Genomic DNA, 19,799 nt, shown 5'->3' on the forward strand with positions numbered 1-19,799 from the left:
GTCTTGGAACCTAGCCCCCGCCCCGCCGTGTCTCACCATCCCCCATGCACGGTGTCCCGCATTCGCTCCCCCTGAGCAGCTGGGCCATGCAGGGTGCTGCCCAAAGTGGCAGGGAGGCTTGAAAGGGGAGGTCGAGGCAGCAGTGGAAAGAAAAAATATCCGCCATGGTAGAGCAACGGTCTTGGCCCCTTCCCCGCAGCCCCCACGCCATCCCTGCCGCGCATGTACGGGGTCCTGGGGACACTGGGGTACCGGGTTCGTGCCCCCGGAGCAGCTGGACCGCGTGGCGGGTGGCCCAAAGAGGCTGGGAGCTGTTGGCATGCTAGGGCTCCTGGGGACATGGGGATCTGGGGTTCGCGCCCCCGGAGCTGCTGGGCCCCACAGGGTGCCGTCTAAAGCGGCAGGGAGGCTTGAAATGGGAGGTCGAGGCACTGGGGTAAGGAAAAAAACCGAGGAGGCAGAGCAGAGATCTTGGCCCCTGGCGAAGCCCACACGCACTCTGCAGTGCATTCGCGCTGTTCTAGGGAACCTGGGGTCCTGGGTTCACGCCTGGGAGCGGCTGAGCCCTAGGGGGAGCTGCCCAAAGTGGCAGGGAGGCCCAAAATGGGAGGTCGAGGCAAGGGTGGAAGGAAAAACAACCTGCGCAGCAGGGCAGGGGTCTTGGCCCCTGGTCCACACCACGCTCCCCCTGCCGCTCATGCACGGGGTCCAGGGGACCCTGGGGTGCCGGGTTCGTGCCCCCAGAGTGGCTGGACCCCACGGCGGGCTCCCCAAAGAGGCAGGGAGGCTTGAAATGGGAGGTCGAGCCACCGGTGGAAGGAAAAAATACCGGCGAGGCAGAGCAGGGTTCTTGGCCCCTGGCCAACCACACACACTCCCTGCTTCGCATGCATGGGGTCCCAGGGACCCTGAGGTCCTGGGTTCACGCCCCCAGAGCGGCTCGACCCAGCGGCGGGCTGCCCCAATAGGCAGGGAGGCTTGAAAAGTGAGGTCGAAGAAAGGGGATGTTGAGGCACCGGTGGAAAAAAAAAAAACTGGCGAGGCTGAGCAGGGGTCTTGGCTTCTAGCCCCACCCATGTCTCCCTGCTGTGCATGCACTGGGTCCCGGGTTTGCACCCACGGAGTGGCTGGGCCCCGCGGGGTGCCGCCCAAAGCAGCAGGGACACTTGAAAGGAGAGGTCGAGGCACCAGTGGAAGGAAAAAAACCGGCCAGGCACAGCAGGGTTCTCGGACCCTGGCCCCCCCTACGCCCACCCTGCCGTGCACTGCGCGGGGTCCTGGGGACCCTGGAATGCCCGGTTCGCGCGACCGGAGCGGCTGGACATGGTGGGGGGGCCGCCCAAAGGTGCAGGGAGGCTTGAAAGAGGACGTAGAGGCACCGGTGGAACGCAAAAAAACGGGCGAGGCCAAGGCCAAGTCAAAGTCCAAGTTCAAGGCCAGTTCCAAGTCCAAGTTTAAGTTCAAGTTCAAGGCCAAGTTTAAGGCCAGGGATCCCACGTTCACACTCTGGGAGTGCTGGAACCCGCAGGGGGCCTTTCAACGAGACAGGGTGGTTTGAAAGGGGAGATCGAGGCACCAGTGGAAGGAACATAACCGGCGAGGCATAGCAGGGGTCTTGGCCCCTGGCCCCGCCAACGCCGCTCCTGCGGCGCATGTGCGGGGTTACGGGGACTCTTGGTTCCTGGGTTTGCGCCCCCAGAGTGACTGGACCCCGCAGGTTGCTGCCCAAAGAGGCACGGAGGCTTGAAAGGGGAGGTCGAGGCGCCGGTGGAAGGAAAAAAACTGGCGAGGCAGAGCAGGGGTCTTGGCCCCTGCTCCCCGCCACGCACCCCCTCCCATGCATGCGCGGGGTCCTTGAGACCCTGGTGTCCTAGCTTCATAGCCCTGGAGCAGCTGGAACCCGCGGGGTGCCTCTCAAAGCGACAGGGAGGCTTGAAAGGGGATGTCGAGGCACCAAAGGAAAAAAAAAACGGAGAGGCAGAGCAGGGTTCTTGGCCGCATGCACCACCACGCCCACCCTACTGTGCATGCACGGGTTCCTGGGGACCCTGGGGTCCTGGGTTCACGCCCCCGGAGCGGCTGGACCCTGCGGGGTGCCGCTCAAAGCAGCAGAGAGACGTGAAAGGGGAGGTGAAAGAATCAATGGAAGGAATAAAAACCGGTGAGGCAGAGCAGGGCACTTGGCCTCTTGCACACCCATGCCCACTGTGCTGTGCATGGGCGGGATCCCGCGTTCATGACCCCAGAGCGGCTGGGCCCCGCAGGGTGCCTTTCAAAGCGGCAGGGAGGCTTGAAAGTGAAGGTCGAGGCACCAGTGGAAGGAAAAAACACTGGCGAGGCAGAGCAAGGTTATTGGCCCCTGGCCCCCCTCACGCACACCCTGCCACGCATGCGCGGGGTCCCAGAGACCCTGGGGTCCCAGCTTCACGCCCTGGAGCAGCTGGACCCTGCGGGGTGCTGCTCAAAGCGGCAGGGAGGCTTGAAAGTGGAGGTCGAGGCACCGGTGGAAGGAAAAAAATCCGGCGCGGTAGAGCACGGTTCTTGGTCCCTGGCACCCCCATGCACACCCCTGCCGCTCATGCGCGGCGTCCGGAGTTCGTGCCCCCGGAGCGGCTGGGCCCCGCGGGGTGCCGCCCAAAGCGGCAGGGAGGATTGAAAGGGGAGGATGAGGCACTGGGGGAAGGAAAAAAAACGGCTGCTTTAGAGCAGGGGTCTTGGCACATGGCCCACCCCATGACGCCCCTGCCACGCATGCGCGGGGTCCCAGGGACCGGGGAGTCCCGGGTTCACGCCCCTGGAGTGGCTGGAACCCGCGGGGGCCCGCCCAAAGAGTCAGGGAGGCTTGAAAGGGGAGGTCAATGCCCCAGTGGAAGAAAAAAAAAACGGCGAGGCAGAGCAGGGTTCTTGGCCCCTGTCCCCACCAACGCTCACCCTGCCGCACATGCGTGGGGTACTGGGGATGCTGGGGTCCCGGGTTCACGCCCCCGGAGCAGCTGGGCCCCGCGGGGTGCTGCTCAAAGCAGCAAGGAGGCTTGAAATGGGAGGTCGATGCACCTGTGGAAGGAAAAAAAACGGGCAAGGCTGAGCAGGGTTCTTGGCCCCCGGTACCCCCCCCCCCATGCCACCACTGCCACGCATGTACGATGTCCAGGGTTCGTGCCCCGGAGCAGCTGGACCAGACGGGGGACTGCCCAAATAGTCAGGCAGGCTTGAAAAATGAGATCGAGGCACCAGTGGAAGGAAAAAACACCGGCGAGGCAGAGCAGAGGTATTGGCCCCTGTCCAAAACCACGCACCCCATTCGGTGCATACACGGGGTCCCGGGTTTGCACTCCCCGAGCGGCTGGACACTGCGGGGGGCTGCCCAAAGAGGCAGGGAGACTTGAAATGGGAGGTCGAATCACCGGTGAAAGGAAAAAAAAGCCGCGGTAGAGCAGGGGTCTTGGCCCATGGCCCATATCACGCCATCCCTGCCATGCATGTGCGGGGTCCCGGACACCCTGAGGTCCCAGATTCGCGACCCCGGAGTGGCCTGACCCCGCGGGGGGCCGCACATAGAGGCAGAGAGGCTTGAAAGGGGAGGTCGAGGAACCGGTGAAAGGAAAAATTCTGGCGCCTCAGAGCGGGGGTCTTGGCTCATGGCCCCACCCACACCGCCCCTGCTGCACATGCGCAGGATCCCGGGGACCCTGGGCTCCCAGGTTTGCACCGCCGGCGTGGCTAGATCCCTTGCGGGGCAGCCCAAACAGGCAGGGAGGCTTGAAAGTTGAGGTCGAGGACCCGGTGGAAGGAAAATAAACTGGCGAGGCAGAGCAGGGGTCTTAGCCGCTGGCCTTCCCCACGCCCCCGCTGCCATGCATGTGCGGGGTCCTAGGGACCCTGAGGTCTCGGGTTCACCCCCCCGGAGCGGCTGCACCCCACAAGGAGCCGCCCAAAGAGGCAGGGAGTCTTGAAAGGGGAGATCGAGGCACCCGTGGAAGGAAAAAGAACTGCCGAGGGAGAGCAGGGGTCTTGGCCCCTGGCCTCCCCCATGCCACCCCTGCTGCTCATGTGCGGGGTCCTGGGGACCCTGGGGTTCGGGGTCCATGCCTCCGGAGTGGCTGGGCCCTGCGCGGTGCCGCCCAAAGCGGCAGGGATGCTTGAAAGGGGAGGTCGAGGCACCGGTGGAAGGAAAAAAAAACCGCCGTGGTAGAGCACGGTTCTTGGACCCTGCAACCCCCATGCCGCCCCTGCCGCGCAAGCGCGGGGTCCAGGGATTCTGAGGTCGCGGGTTCGCGCCCCTGGAGGGACTGGACCCAGCAGGGTGCCGCCCAAAGAGGCAGGGAGGCTTGAAATGGGAGGTTGAGTCACCGGTGGAAGGAAATAAAACCGGCGAGGCAGAGCAGGGGTCATGACCCCTGGCCCCCCACACGCACACCCTGCCGCACATGCGCGGTGTCCCAGGGACCCTGGGGTCCCCCGTTCACGCCCCGGAGGGGGTGGTCCCCCCGCGGGATGCCGGCCAAAGCGGCAGGGAGGCTTGAAAGGCCAGGGGTCCCGGGTTCGCACCCCACAAGGAGCCGCCCAAAGAGTCAGGGAGTCTTGAAAGGGGAGGTCGAGGCACCCGTGGAAGGAAAAAAAACTGGCGAGGCAGAGCAGGGGTCTTGGCCCCTGACCCCTCCCCCCGCCTCCCCTGCCGCGCATGCGCAGGGTCCCAGGACTGTGGGGTTCTGGGTTCGCTCCACCAGAGCAGCTGGACCTCGTGGGGTGCTGCCCAAAAAGGCAGGGAGGCTTGAAAGGGGAGATGGAGGCACCGGTGGAAGGAAGAAAACCTGACGATGTAGAGCAGGGGTCTTGGCCCCGGGCCTTCCTCGTGCCACCCCTGCCGCGCATGCGCGTGGTCCAGGGGACCCTGCCGCCAAAGAAGCAGGGAGTCTTGAAAGGCCAGGGGTCCCGGGTTGGCGCCTCAGGACTGGCTGTACCCCGCGTAGGGCCGCCCAAAGAGGCAGGGAGGCTTGAAAGGGTAGGTCGAGGAACTGGTGGAAGGAATAAAAACTGGCGAGGCAGAGCAGGGGTCTTCGCCCCTGGCCTTCCCCCGCAAGCCCCACCTGCCACGCATGCACGGGGGCCCGGGGACACTTGCGTCCCAGATTCACTCCCCCAGAGCAGCTGAACACAGCAGGGGGCCGCCCAACGAGGCAGGCAGGCTTGAAATGGGAGGTCGAGGCACTGGTGGAAGGAAAAAAACCCAGCGAGGCAGAGCAGGGTTCGGGCCCCTGGCTCCCCCCGCCGCGCATGCGCGGGTCCCGGGAACACCAGGGTTCCTGATTCGTGTCCATGGAGCGGCTGGGCCCCTGGCCCACCCCTGCGGCTCATGCATCGGTCCCGGGGGATCCCACTTGGGGCCAGGGCCCTGACCCCTGCTCTGCAGCGCCGGGTTTTTTTTTTACTTCCACCATTGTCTCGGCCTCCCCTTTCAAGCCTCCCTGCGGCCTTGGGCGGCCCCCAGCGGGACCCAGCAGCTCCGGGGGCTCGAACCTGGGACCCCGGGGTGCCCAGGACTCGTGCATCTACAGCAGGGATGGACTAGGGACCCCGACCCTGCTCTGCCGCGCCGGGTTTTTTTTCCTTCCACCTGTACCTCGGCTTCCCTTTCAAGCCTCTCTGCCACCTTGGGCTGCCCCCCGCGGGCCCAGCCACTCCGGGGGTGGGAACCCGGGACCCTAGGGTCCCCGGGGCTTCACGCATGCGTGGCAAGAGGCAGCCAGGGGCCCTGAACCCTGCTCTGCAGCGCCGAGTTGTTCTTCCTTCCACCAGTGCCTCGGCCACCCCTTCCAGGCCTCCCTGCCGCTTTGGGAGGCCCCCCGCGGGGCCCAGCAGCTCCGAGGGCATAAACCCAGGACCACGGGGTCGCTGGGACCTTGCTCATGTGTGGCAGCGTGGGGCCAGGGGCCCCGAACCCTGCTCTGCTGCGCTGGGTTGTTCTTTCCACCAGTGTGTCGGTCCCTCGGCCTCCCCATTCAAGCCTCCCTGCAACCTTCGGCGGTCCCTCATGGGGCCCAGCAGCTCCGGAGGCACGAACCCGGGACCCCAGGGTCCCCGGGACCTCGCGCATGCACGGCAGGGTGTGGCCAGGTTCCGCGACCCCTGCCCTGCTGTGCCGGGTTTTTTTTCTTTCCACCGGTGACTCTGCCTCCCCGTTCTAGCTCCCCTGCTGATTTGGGCGGCACCACGTGGGGCCCAGCAGCTCCAGGAGCGTGAAACCAGGACCCCGGGGTCCCCGGGAACAGCGCATGCACGGCAGGGTGGGGCCAGGGGCCCGGACCCCTGCTCTTCCACGCCGGGTTTCTTTTCCTTCCACCTGTAGCTTGGCCTCCCCTTTCAAGACTCCCTGCCGCCTTGGGGCGTACCACGAGGAGCCCAGCAGCTCCGGCGGCGGGAACCCGGGATCCCGGGGTGTTTGGGATCCTGTGCATGTGTGGCAGAGGGGAGCCAGGGGTCCTGAACCCTGCTCTGCCTCGCCGGAATTTTTCCTTCCACCTGTGCCTTGGCCTCCGCTTTCAAGACTCCCTGCCGCCTTTGGCGGCACCCTGCTGGTCCCAGCCACTCTTGGGGCGTGAACCCAGTTCCCCAAAGTCCCCGGGATCCCGCGTATGCGCGGCAGGGTGGGGCCAGGGGCCCAGACCCCTGCTCTGCCGCACTGGGTTGTTCCTCCTTCCACCAGTGCCTTGGCCTCCCCTTTCAAGCCTCCCTGCTGCCTTGGACGGCCCCAGGCGAGGCCCAGCAGCTCCCGGAGCACGAACCTGGGACCCCTCTCATGCCCAGCAGGGAGCAGCCAGTTGCCCAGACCCTTGCACTGCCGCGCCGGGTATTTTTTCCTTACACTGGTGCCTAGGCCGCCCCTTTCAAGACTCCCTGCCGCCTTGTGCAGCCCCCGGGGCGCCCAACCGCCCCAGGGGAGCGAACTCAAGACCCCAGTTTCCCAGGCAACCCACGCATGCGTGGCAGGGGGCAGCCAGAGGCCCCGAAACCTGCTCTGCCACACCAGGTTGTTTTTCCTTCCACCAGTGCCTTGGCGACCCCTATCAGGCGTCCCTGTCTCTTTGGGCGGCCCCCTGCGGGGCCGAGCCGCTCTGGGGGCACGAACCCGGGACCCCAACTTCCCTGAGACCCCACGCAAGTGCGGCAGGGGCGGGCGTGGAGGGGGTCAGGGGCCAAGAAAACTGCTCTACTGGGCCGGTTTGTTTTCCATCCACCGGAGACTCGACCTCCCCTTTCAAGCCTCCCTGCCGCTTTGGGCGGCAACCCGCGGGGCCCAGCAGCTCCGGGGGCGCTATCCAGGGACTCCAGGGTACCCGGGACCCCGCGCATGCGCGGTAGGGGCGGCGAGGGGTGGCCAGGAGCAGGTTTTTCTTCCTTCCACCGGTGGCTCAACCTCCCCTTTCAAGCCTCTGTGCTGCTTTTGACTGCACCCCGCGGGGCCCTGCCAATCCGGTGGCGCGAACCTGGGGTCCCCAGTACACGCGCATGTACGTCAGGGTCGGCGTGAGCAGGGCCAGGGGCCAAGACCCCTGCTCTACCACGCCGTTTTTTTTTCCTTTAACCGGTGCCTCGACATCCCTTTCAAGCCTCCCTGCAGCTTTGGGCGGCACCCTGCATGGCCCAGCCTCTCCGGGGGCATGAACCCTGGACCCCAGGGTCCCCAGGAAACCACGCATATGCGGCAGGGAGGGCGTGGGGGGGTCCAAGGACCAAGACCCCTGCTCTGCCTCGCCAGTTAATTTTCCTTCCACCGGTGCCTCGACCTCCCATTTCAAGCCTCCCTGCCTCTTTAGGCGGCACCTTGCGGGGTCCAGCCTCTACGGGGGCGAAAATCCGGGACCCCAGGTTTCGCTGGACCCCACGTATGCGCTACAGAGGGGGCGTGGGTGGGGCCAGTCGCCAAGACCCCTGCTCTGCCTCGCCGATTTTTTTCCTTCCACCTGTGCCTGGACCTCCCTTTTGAAGCCTCCCTGACGCTTTGGGCGGACCCCGCGGTCTCCAGCCTGTCCGGGGGTGCGAATGCGGGACCCCTGTGTCCCAGGGACCCCGCGCATGCGTGGAAGCGATGGCGTGGTGGCCATGGGCGAAGACCTCTGCTCTACCGTGGCCGTTTTTTTTTCCTTCTTATCAGTGCCTCACCCTCCACTTTCAAGCCTCCCTGCCTCTTTGGGCAGTCCCCTGCTGGGTCCAGCCGCTCCGGGGTCGTGAACCCTGGACCCCAGGGTCTCAGAGACCTTGCGCATGCGCGGCAGATTGGGCGTGGGGTGGGGTCAGGGGCCAATATCCCTGCCCTGCATCTCTTTTTTTTTTCCTTCCACTGGTGCCTCGATCTCCACTTTCAAGCCTCCTTGTCACTTTGGGTGGCAAACCCGGGGCCCAGCCTCTCCGGGAGCACGAACCCAGGACCCCAGGGTCTCCGAAACCCCACGCATGTGTGGTAGGGTGGGTGTTGGGAGGTGCCAGGGGCCAAGACCCCTGCTCTGTCTTGCCGGTTTTTTTTTCCTTCCAATGATGCCTCGACCTCCCCTTTCAAGCCTCCCTGCCTCTTTGGGCTGCCCCCTGGGGGGTCCAGCCCCTCCTTGGGCGAGAACCCGAGAATTAACGGCCTCCGGGACCCCGCGCATACGTGGCAGGGGGCGCGTGGGGGGACCAGGGTCCAAGATCCCTCCTCTGCCTTGCCAGTTTTTTTCCTTCCACCGCTGTCTTGACTTTTCTTTGCCTGGACCTTTCATTTCAAGCCTCTTACCTGCTTTGGGCGGCGTGCTGCAGAGACCAACCACTCCAGGGGTGCAGACCCGGAATCCCGCGCATGGGCAGCAGGGGGCGCGTGGGATTGGCCAGGGGCCACGACCCCTGCTCTGCCGCTCTGGTTTTTTTTTCCTTCCACTGGGGCTTTGACCTCCCCTTTCAAGCCTCCCTGCTTCTTTTCGCGGCTCCCCGCAATGTCCAACCACTCCGGGGGCGCGAACCCAGCACCCAAGAGTCCTGGGGACCTCACGCATGCGCGGCAGGGGCGGCGTGTGGGGGGTCATGGGCCAAGACTCCTGCTCTACAGCGGCGAATTTTTTCCTTCCCCCAGGGCCTCGACCTCCCCTTTCAAGACCCCCTGGTTCTTTGGGCGTCGTCCCGCGGGGTCGAGCCGCTCTGGGAGCGCGAACCCTGGACCCCAGGCATGCGCAGCAAGGGGGCGCGTGAAGGGGGCCAGGGCCAAGACCCTGCTTTGCCTTGCCGGTTTTTTTTCCTTCCACCAGTGCCTCGACCTCCCCTTTCAAGTCTCCCTGCCTCTTTGGGAGGCCCCCCGCGAGGTCCACCCGCTCCAGGGGCCCAAACCCAGGATCACAGGGTCCCCGGGACACCGTGCATGCGTGGCAGTGGTGGCGTGCGTGGGTGGGGGTCCATGGGCCAAGACCCTTGCTCAACCGTGGCGTTTTTTATCCTTTCTCCAGTGCCTCGACCTCCCTTTTCAAGCATCCCTGCCTCTTTGGGCAGTCCCCCGCAGTGTCCAGCTGATATGGGGCCTCGAACCCGGGACCTCAGCGTCCCCAGGAAACCGCGCATACCCAGCAGTGGAGGCGTGCGTTGGCCAGGGGTCAAGAACCCTGCTCTTCCGCGCTGTTTTTTTTTTTTCCTTCCACCGGTGCCTTGACCTCCCATTTCAAGCCTCCCTCCGCTTTGGGCGGCACCCCCCGGGGCCCAGCCGCTCTGGGGGCACTCATCCGGGAGCCCAGGATCCCCAGTACCCCAAGGATATGCGGCAGGGGGGACGTGGGGAGTCCAGGGGCCAAGACCTCTGCTCTGCCTTGCCAGTTATTTTTCCTTCCATCGGTGCCTCGACCTCCCATTTCAAGCCTCCCTGCCTCTTTGGGCAGTCCCCCGAAGGGTCCAGCCGCTCCGGGGGCGCGAATCTGGGATCCCAGGGTTCACAGGACAAAGCTTATGCATGGCAGAGGGGGCGTGGGTGGAGCCAGGAGCCAAGACCCCTGCTCTGCCCCGCCGGTTTTTTTCTTCCACCGGTGCCTCGACCTCCACTTTCAAACCTCCCTGCCCCTTTGGGCGGCCCCCCAAGGGGTCCAGCCGCTCCGGGGGTGCAAACCGGGGACCCCTAGGTCCCCGGGACCCCGCGCATGCACGGCAGTAGAGGTGTGGGGTTGGCCAGGCGTCAAGAACCCTGTTCCGCCGCGCCAGTATTTTTTTCTCCACCGGTGCCTCGACCTCCCCTTTCAAGCCTCCCTGCTTTTTGGCGGCGGCCCGCGGGGTAGAGCTGCTCCAGGCGCGCGAAACCGGGACCCCAGGGTCCCCGCTACCCCGTGCATGCGCAGCAGGGGTGGGGTGGGCGGGGCCATGGGCTAAGAACCCTGCTCTACTGTGGCGGTTGTTTTTCCTTGCACTGGTGCCTCTACCTCCACTTTCAAGCCTCCCTGCCTCTTTGGGCGGCCCCCAGCGGGGTCCAGCTGCTTTGCACGTGCAAACCCGGGACCCCAGGGTACCTGGGACACCGCGCATGTGCGGCAGGGGGTGCGTGGGGTTTGCCAGGGGCCAAGGGCCCTGGTCTGCTGTGCCGTTTTTTTTCCTTCCACCGGTGCCTCGACCTCCATTTTCAAGCATCCCTGTCCCTTTGGGCGGCGACCCACGGGGCCCAGCCGCTCCGGTGGTGCGAACCAGGGATAACATGGTCCCCGGCACCCCAGGCATACGTGGCAGGGTGGGTGTGGAGGGGACAAGGGGCCAAGACCCCTGCTCTGCCTCGCCGTTTTTTTTTTTTTTTCCTTCCACTAGTGATTCAACTTCCCTTTTCAAGCCTCCCTGCCTCTTTGGGCGGCCCCCTGCATGGTCCAACCGCTCTGGGGCGCAAATCCAGTACCCCAGTGTCCCCAGGACCCTGCGCATGTGCAGCAGGGGGAGGGTACGGGCGCCAGGGGCCAAGACCATTGCTCTGCCTCGCTGGGTTTTTTTCCTTCCACCGGTGCCTCGACCTCCCGTTTCAAGCCTCCCTGCCTATTTGGCCTAACCCACGCGGGGTCCAGCCTCTCCGGGGGTGTGAACCCCGGACCTCAGGGTCCTCAGGACCCAGTGCATGCGCAGCAGGTGGGACTTGGGGTTGGCCGGGGGCCAAGAGCCCCACTTTGCGGTACCGGTTTTTTCCTTCCACCAGTGTTTCGGCCTCCCCGTTCAAGCCTCCCTGCGGCTGTGGGCGGCTACCCCAGGGGACCAGCTGCTCCGAGGGCGCGAGCCTAGGACCCTGCTTATGCACGGCAGGGGTGGTGTGGGGGTGACCAGGGTCCAAGACCCCTGCTCTATCGCGCCGATTTTTTTTCCTTCCACAGGTGCCTCTACCTCTCTTTCAAGCCTTCCTGCCACTTTGGGCGGCACCCCGCGGGCCTTGTCGCTCCAGGGACTCGATCCCGGTACCCTAGGGTCCCCGGGACCCCCTGCATGCGCAGAAGGGGCGGTGTGGTGGGAGCCAGGGGCCAAGACTCCCGCTCTGCCTCGCCAGTTTTTTTTCCTTCCACCGGTGCCTCAATCACCCCTTTCAAGACACCCTGCCTATTCGGGCGGCTCCTGAGGGGTCCAGCCACTCCGGGGGCAAGAGCCCTCCACCACAGGGTCCCTGGAACCCAAAGCATGCAAGGCAGGGGCGGCGTAGGGAGGCCCGGGGACCAAGACCCCTCCTCTACCGCGGCAGGTTTTTTTCTACCACCTGTGCCTTGACCTCCCCTTTCAGGCCTCCCTGACGCTTTGGGCGGCCGCAGACGGGGCGCGCACTCGAGACCCCAGGTTCCCCGGGACACCGCGCATGTGCGGCAGAGTGAGGGTGGGGTTGGCCAGGGGCCAAGATATCTGCTCTGCCATGCCGGTTTTTTTATCATTCCAGGAGTGCCTCGACCTCCCCTTTCAAGCCTCCCTGCCGCTTTGAGCGGCACCCTGCGGGGCCCAGCGGCTCCGGGGGCCATAACGGGTGCCTGCGCATGCGCGGCAGGTGGGTCACGGTGCGGGGCAGAAGCCAAGAACCCTGCTCTACCTCGCCAGTTTTGTTTCCTTCCACGGGTGCCTCAACTTCCCCTTTCAATCCTCCCTGCCTCTTTGGCTACCCCACCCAGGGTCCAGCCCCTCCGGGATCGTGAACCCGGTACTCCAAGGTCCCTGGGACCCGCGCATGTGCGGCAGGGGGAGCGAGGGGTTGGCCAGGGGCCAAGAAACCTGCTCTGCCGCGCTGTTTTTCTTTCCTTCCACAGGTGCCTTGACCTCCACTTTCACGACTCCCTGCTGCTTTGGACGGAACTCCGCGGAGCACAGCCGCTCCAGGGGCGCAAGCCTGGGACCCCAGGTTCCCTGGGACTCCACGCATGTGTGGCAGGAGGGGCGTTGGGGGGCGGCAGGGGCCAAGACCCCTGCTCTGCTTTGCCTTTTTTTCCTTCCACCGGTGCCTCAACCTCCCCTCTCAAGACTCCCTGCGTCTTCGCCGCCCCTCGCGAGGTCCAGCCACTCTGGTGGTGCGAACCTGGGACCCCAGGGTCCCTGAGACCCCAAGCTTGGGTGTCAGGGGGAGCGTGGGGAGGGCAAGGGGCCAAGACCCCTGCTCTGCCCCACCAGTTTTTTTTCTTCCACCGGTGCCTCGAAATCCCATTTCAATCCCCGCGCATGCACAGCAGGGGTGGCTTGGTGCCGAGGAAGGGGCCAAGAACCCTGCTCTACTGTGGCGGTTTTTTCTCCTTCCACTGGTGCCACGACCTCCAGTTTCAAGCCTCCCTGCCACTCTGTGCGGCATCCCGCAGTGCCCAGCCACTGCAGGGGCACGAACCTGGGACCTCAGGGTACCCGGGACCCCGCACCTGCAAGGCAGGGTGTCGTGGTGGTCCAGGAGCCAAGACCCCTGCTCTGTCTCACTGGTATTTTTTCCTTCCACCGGTGCCTCGACCTCCACTTTCAAGCCTCCCTGCCTCTTTGGGCGGCCCCTCCACGGGGTCCAGACGCTCCGGGGTCGTGAACCCGGTACCCCAGGGTCCCCGGGAACCAGCACATGTGGGACAGGAAAGCGTGGGGCGGGCCAGGGGCCAAGACCCCTGCTCTGCCTTGCCAGTTTTTTTCCTTCCATTGGTGCCTTGACCTCCCCTTTCAAGCCCTGCGCATGCGTGGAAGGGATGGCGTGGGGTGGGGGAGGGGGCAGGGGCCAAGACCCCTGCTCTGCCTCTCCAGGTATTTTCATTCCACCGGTGCCTCGACATCCTTTTTCAAGACTACCAGCCTCTTTGCCCCCCGTGGGGCCCAGTCACTCCGGGGGCACAAACCTGGGACCCCAGGGTTCCCAGGACTGGACGCATGCACGGCAGGGTGGGTGTAGAGTTGGCCACGGGCAAGACCCCAGCTCTGCAACACTGGTATTTTTTCCTTCCATTGGTGCATCGACCTCCCCTTTCACGTTTCCCTGCCCCTTTGCGTGGCGCCCCCACGGGGCCCAGGCACTCTGGGGGCGTGAAATCGGGAGCCCAGGTTCCCTGGGACCCCGCACATGCGCGGCAGCGGGGGCGTGGTTGGGGCCAGGGGGAAAGACCCTTGCTCTACAGCGGAGGTTTTTTTTCCCTCCACAGGTGCCTCGACCTGCCCTTTCAAGCCTCGCTGCTGTTTTACGCTGGCCCTTTGGGCCCGAGGCGCTCCGTGGGTGCAAACCTGGGAGGCCAAGTGTCCCCCGGGTCCTGTGCATGCAAGGCACTTTCGCCCTTGGTAGGGGACCTTTGCTGCGCCTTTTCTGTTTTCCTGCCACACCACAGGCGCCTCGACCTCCCCTTTCAAGCCTCCCTGTTGCCTTGGGCTGGCTCCCATGGGCCCGAGGTGCTCCATGGCCGCGAACCTGGGAGGCACAGGGTACCCTGGACCCCACGCATTCGCAGTGGGGAAGCACTTATGCGCATTTGGTGGAGGTACATCTGCCGCGCCGATTCTTTTTTCCTGCCACACCACAGGCGTCTCGACCTCCCTTTTCAAGCCTCCCTGCCACCTTGGGCTGGACCCCGTGCGCTCGAGGCGCTCTGAATGCGTGAGCATGGGAAGCCCAGGGTCCCCTGGGCCCCACGCATGCACGGTGGGGAAGCACCTTCTTTTGTGGCGGGGTGGGGGTGGCCTCTGCCGCACTGTTTCTGTTTACCTGCCACACCACAGGCGCCTCGACCTCCCCTTTCAATCCTCCCTGCCGCTTTGGGCTAGCCCCGCTGAGCCCGAGGCGCTCTGTGGGCGTGAACCTGGGAGTCCCAGGGTCCCCTGCGCTCCATGCATGAGAGGTGGGGAGGCACTTTCGCCCGTGGGGAGGGGACCTTTCTCCTGTGGGGGGTGACCTCTGCCGCGCAGTTTCTGTTTACCTGCCACACCACAGGCGCCTCTACCTCCCCTTTCAAGACTCCCTGCCGCTTTGGACTGGCCCCCTTTGGCCCGAGGCAACCTGTGGGCATGAACCTGGGGCTCCCAGGGTCCCCTGGGCCCCATTCGTGAGTGGTAGGGAGGCACTTTCGCCCGTGGGGTGGACTTCTGCAGTGCCGCTTCTGTTTTCCTGTCACACCACAGGCATTTCGATCTTCCCTTTCAAGGCTCCCTGCCTCCGTAGACTGGCCCAAGTGGGCCCGAGGCGCTCCGTGGGCATGAACCTTGGGGGCGCAGGGTCCCCTGGACTTCACGCATGCACGATGGGGAAGCACTTTTGCCCGTGAGGTGGGACCTCTGCCGCGCCATTTCTGTTTTCCTGCTAAAACACAGGTGCTTCGACCTCCCCTTTCAAGCCTCCCTGCTGCATTGGGCTGGGCCCCGTGGGCCCGAGGTGCTCCATGGTTGCGAATTTTTGAGGCCCACAGTCCGCTGGGCCCCACGTATGCGCGGTGGGGAGGCACTTTCACCTGTGGAAGGGGGACCTCTGCGGAGCCGTTTCTGTTTTCCTGCCACACCACAGGTGCCTCGACATCCCCTTTGAAGCCTCCCTGCCGCCTTGGGCCCAAGGTACTTTGTGACAGTGAACCTGGGAGGCCCAGGGTGCCCTGGGCACTGCGCATGCACGCTGTGGAGTCTCTTTCGCCTGGTGGGGGACCTCTGCCACGCCATTTCTGTTTACCTGCCACAACACAGGCGCCTCTACCTCCCATTTCAAGCCTCCCTGCCGCTTTGGGCTGGCCCCCCTGGGCCCGAGGCGCTCCGTGGGCCCCATGCGTGAGCGGTGGGGGGCACTTTCGCCCGTGGGATGGACCTCTGCAGCGCCACTTGTTTTCCTGCTACACCACAGGCACTTCAAGCTGCCCTTTCAAGGCTCCCTGCCCCCTTGGGCTGGCCCCTGTGGGCCCGAGGCGCCCCGTGGGTATGAACCTGGGAGGCGTAGGGTCCCCCGGGCTTCACACATGCTCGGTGGGGTAGCACTTTCACCCGTGGAAGGGATCTCTGCTGGGTCGTTTCTGTTTTCCAGCCACACAATTGGCGCCTCGACCTCCCCTTTCAAGCGTCCCTGCCGCCTTGGTCTGGACCCCGTGGGCCCAATTCGCTCCGTGGGCACAAATGTGGGAGGCCCAGTGTCCCCTGGCCCCAGCATGTGTGGCAGGGAGGCACTTTCGCCCATGGGGGGGACCTCTGCCACACCTTTTCTGTTTTTCTGCCACACCACAAGCGACTCGACCTACCCTTTCAAGCCTCCCTGCAGCTTTGGGCTGGCCCCCATGGGCCCAAGGTGCTCCGTGGGCGGGAACCTGAGAGGCCCAGGGTCCCCTGGGTCACACGCATGCGCGGTGGGGAGGCACCTTCGCCCGTGGAGGGGACCTCTGCCGCAACGTTTGTGTTTCCTTGCCACACCACAGGTGCATCGACCTCCCTTTTCAAGCCTCCCTGCCGACTTTGGCTGGCCCCTGTGAGCCCGAGGCGCTCCGTGGGCGCGAACCTGGGAGGCCCAGTGTACCCTGGACCCCGCGCATATGCAGTGGGGAGGCACTTTCACGCGTTAAGTGGGGGGACCTCTGCTGCGCCGTTTCTGTTTTCCTGCCACACCACAGGTGCCTCAATCTCCCATTTCAAGCCTTCATGCAGTTCTGTGCTGGCTCCCGCCAGGGTCCCTTGGGCCCCACGAATGCGTGGTGGGTGGCATTTTCGCCCGTGGGGATGGGCCTTTGCCGCGGCTTTTCTGTTTTCCTGCCTCACCACAGGAGCTTTGACATCCCCTTTCAAGCTTCCCTGCCGCCATGGGCTGGCCCCCGTGGGCCTGAGGCACTCTAAGTGTGAACCTGGGAGTCCCAGGGCCCCTGGGCCCCGCGCATGCGCAGGAGGGAGGCACTCTCTCCCATTGGGAGGGACCTCTGCCATGCCGTTTCTGTTTCCCCGCCGCACCGCAGGCGCCTCGACCTACACTTTCAATCCTCCTCCTGCCTTGGGCTGGCCCCGTGGGCCCGAGGCGCTCCATGGGCGCGAATCTGGGAGGTCCAGGGTCCCCTAGTCCCCGTGCATGCGCGTTGGGGAGGCACTTTCGCCCGTGGGGTGGGACCTCTGCCGCGCTGTTTCTGTTTTCCTGCCAAAATACAGGAGACTCGACCTCCCTTTTCAAGCGTCCCTGCCGTGTTGGGCTGGACCCTGTGGACCCAACTCACTCCCTGGGCACGAACCTGGGAGGCTCAGGGTCGCCTGCCCCAGCATAAGTGATGGGGGGGCACTTTCGCCTGTGGGAGAGACCTCTGCCATGCGGTTTCTGTTTTCCTGCCACACCACAGGCAACTCGACCTACCCTTTCAAGCCTCCCTGCCGCCTTGGGCTGGCATCCGTGGGCCCGAGACTCTCTGTGGGCACGAATCTGGGAGGACCAGCGTCCCCTGGGCCCCATTCATGCGTGGTGGGTATGCACTTTCGCCCGTGGGCGTGTAGCTCTTCTGCGCCATTTCTGTTTTCCTGCAACAACACAGGCGACTCGACCTCCCCTTTCAAGCCTTCCTGCCCTTTTGCAATGGCCAAAGTGGGCCCGAGGCGCTCCGTGGGCATGAACCTGGAAAGCCCAGGGTCCCCTGGGACCCATGCATGCACGGTGGGGTGGCAACTTCACCAGTGTGGGGGGACCTCTGCTGCGCCATTTCTGTTTCCTGCCACACCACATGTGCCTCGACCTCCCCTTTCAAGCCTCCCTGCTGCCTTGGGCTGGCCACCGTCGGTCCGAGGCGCTCCGTGGGCACGTCCTGTGAGGCCGAGGGTCCCCTGGGCTCTGTGCATGAGCGGTAGGGAAGTACTTTCACCCGTGGGGAGGGGACCTTTACTGCGCCTTTTCTGTTTTCCTGCCACACCGAAGGCACCTCGACCTCCCCTTTCAAGCCTCCCTGCCGCCTTGGGCTGGCCACTGTCGGGCCGAGGCGCTCCTTGGCTGTGAACCTGGGAGGTGCAGGGTCCCCTTGGGCCCTGCACTTGCGCGGAGGGGAGACACTTTCGCCCGTGGATGGGGACCTCTGCCGTGCCGTTTCTGTTTTCCTGCCACACAGCAGGAGCCTTGACATCCCCTTTGAAGCATCCCTGCCACCTTGGGCTGGCCCCCATGGGCCCGAGGTGCTTCGTGGTGGTGAACCTGGGAGGCCCATGGTCTCCTGGATCCTGCGCATGCTCGCTGGGGAGTCACGTTATCCTGTGGTGGGGGACCTCTGCCATGCCATTTGTGTTTACGTGTCACACCACAAGCACCTTGACCTTCCCTTTCGAGCCTCCCTGCCGCCTTGGGCTGGCCCCCGTGGGCCCGAGGTGTTCACCAGGCTGAACCTGGAAGGCCCAGGGTCCCATAGGATCCGCGCATGTGAGCTGATGAGTCACTTTCGCCTGTTGGGGGTGGGGGGTACCTCTGCTGCGCCGTTTCTGTTTACCTGTGACAACACAGAGGCCTCGACCTCCCTTTTCCAGCCTCCCTGCCGCTTTGCGCTGGGGTCTCTGGGCCCGAGGCGCTCCGTGGGCATGAACCTGGGAGACCCAGGGTCCCCTGGTCCCCCGCACATGCGCAGTGGGGAGGCACTTTCGCTCGTGGAAGGGACGTCTGCCACGCCGTTTGTGTTTTCCTTCCACAACACAGGTGCCTCGACCTCCCTTTTCTAGCCTTCCTGCTGCCTTGGGCTGGCCCTCGTGGGCTGAGGTGCTCCATGAGCATGAACCAGGGACACCCAGGGACACCCAGGAACACTTGGGCCCTGCGCATGCGCGGTGGGGTGGCACTTTCGCCCGTGGTGGGTGATCTCTGCCTAGCCGTTTGTGTTTTCCTTCCACAACACAGGTGCCTCGACCTCCCCTTTCAAGCTTTCCTGCCGCCACGGGCTGGCCTCGCGGGCACGAGACATTTCATAGGCATGAACCAGGGATATGCAGGGTCCCTTGGGGCCTGCGCATGCACGGTGGGGAGGCACTTTCGCCCGTTGGGGAGACCTTTGCCGTGACGTTTCTGTATTCCTTCACAATAAAGATGCCTGGACCTCCCATTTCAAACCTTCCTGCCGCCTTCAGCTGGCCGCCTTGGGCCGAAGCGCTCTGTCGACATGAACCAGGGACGTCCGGGGTCCGCTGGGCAACATGCATGCGTGGTGGGGAGGCACTTTCGCCCGTGGTGGGGGGGACCTCTGCCCCGCCGTTTGTGTTTTCCTTCCACAACACAGGTGACTCGCCTTCCCTATTCAAGCATTCGTGCAGCCTTCGGCTGGCCCCCATGGGCCCGAGGTGCTCCGTGAGCACGAGCTAGGGATGCCCAGGGTCCCTTGGGCCCATCGCATTTGCAGTGGTGAGGTACTTTCTCTCGTTGGGGGTGACCTCTGCTGCGCCGTTTCTGTTTTCCTTCCACAACACAGGTGCCTCGACCTCCCCTTTCAAGAATTCCTGCCGCCTTGGGCTGGCCCTGTTGGCTGAGGCCCTCCATGGGCTTGAACCAGGGATGCTCAGCATCCCCTGTGCACCAGGCATGCGCAGTGGGGAGGCACTTCCGCCGGTGATGGGGACCTCTGCCTCGCCGATTGTGTTTTCCTCCCCAACAGAGGTGCTTCGACCTCCCCTTTCAAGCATTCCTGCTGCCTTGGGCTGAACCCCATGGGCCCAGGGCGCTCCGTGGGCATGAACCAGGGACGCCCAGGGTCCCGTGGGCCCCACGCATTCACAGTGTTGAGGCACTTTCGCCCTTAAGGGGGGACCTCTGCCTGGCCATTTGTGTTTTTCTTCCGCAAAACAGGTGCCTTGATCTCCCCTTTTAAATGTTCCTGCCGCTTTGTCTGGCATCCTTGTGCCCAAGGCGCTCCATGGGCATGAACCAGGGATGCTCACGGTCCCCTGGGCCCCGCACATGCGCGGTGCGAAGGCACTTTCGCCCGTTGAGGGGTAACTCTGTGGCGCCATTAGTGTTTTCCTTCCACAACACAGGTGCCTCGACCTCCCCTTTCAAGACTTCCTGCCGCCTTGGGCTGGCCCTCGTGGGCTCGAGTTGCTCCTTAGGCGTGAATTAGTGTCCTCCAGGGACCCCTGGGCCTTGCGCATGAGCGGTGGGGAGGCACTTTCTCCTGTGGCGGGGGGACCTCTGCCGAGCCGTTTGTGTTTTCGTTCCACAACACAGGTGCCTCAACCTCCACTTTCAAGCCTTCCTGCCACCTTGTGCTTGTCTCCGTGGGCCCAAGGCGCTCCGTAGGCGAGTACCAGGGATGCCCATGGTCCCCTGGGCCCCACCCATGCGCGGCGGGGAGGCACTTTCGCCAGTGGGGGGGGGACATCTGCTGTGCCGTTTGTGTTTTCCTTCCACAACACAGGTGTCCCGACCTCACCTTTCAAGC

The 19,799-nt window shown here is 64.6% G+C and overlaps 1 annotated feature.

Moving 5' to 3' along the window:
- Positions 8,648-8,942: an enhancer, noted in NCBI's record as "tiled region #3620; HepG2 Activating DNase matched - State 12:CtcfO". NCBI's record gives its function as "activates a minimal TATA promoter and a strong SV40 promoter by Sharpr-MPRA in HepG2 cells {active_cell/tissue: HepG2}" and the evidence as "EXISTENCE:reporter gene assay evidence [ECO:0000049][PMID:27701403]".

The sequence above is a fragment of the Homo sapiens genome, chromosome 12 (genome assembly GCF_000001405.40).
Source record: "Homo sapiens chromosome 12, GRCh38.p14 Primary Assembly".
NCBI classification, from domain to species: Eukaryota; Metazoa; Chordata; class Mammalia; order Primates; family Hominidae; genus Homo; species Homo sapiens.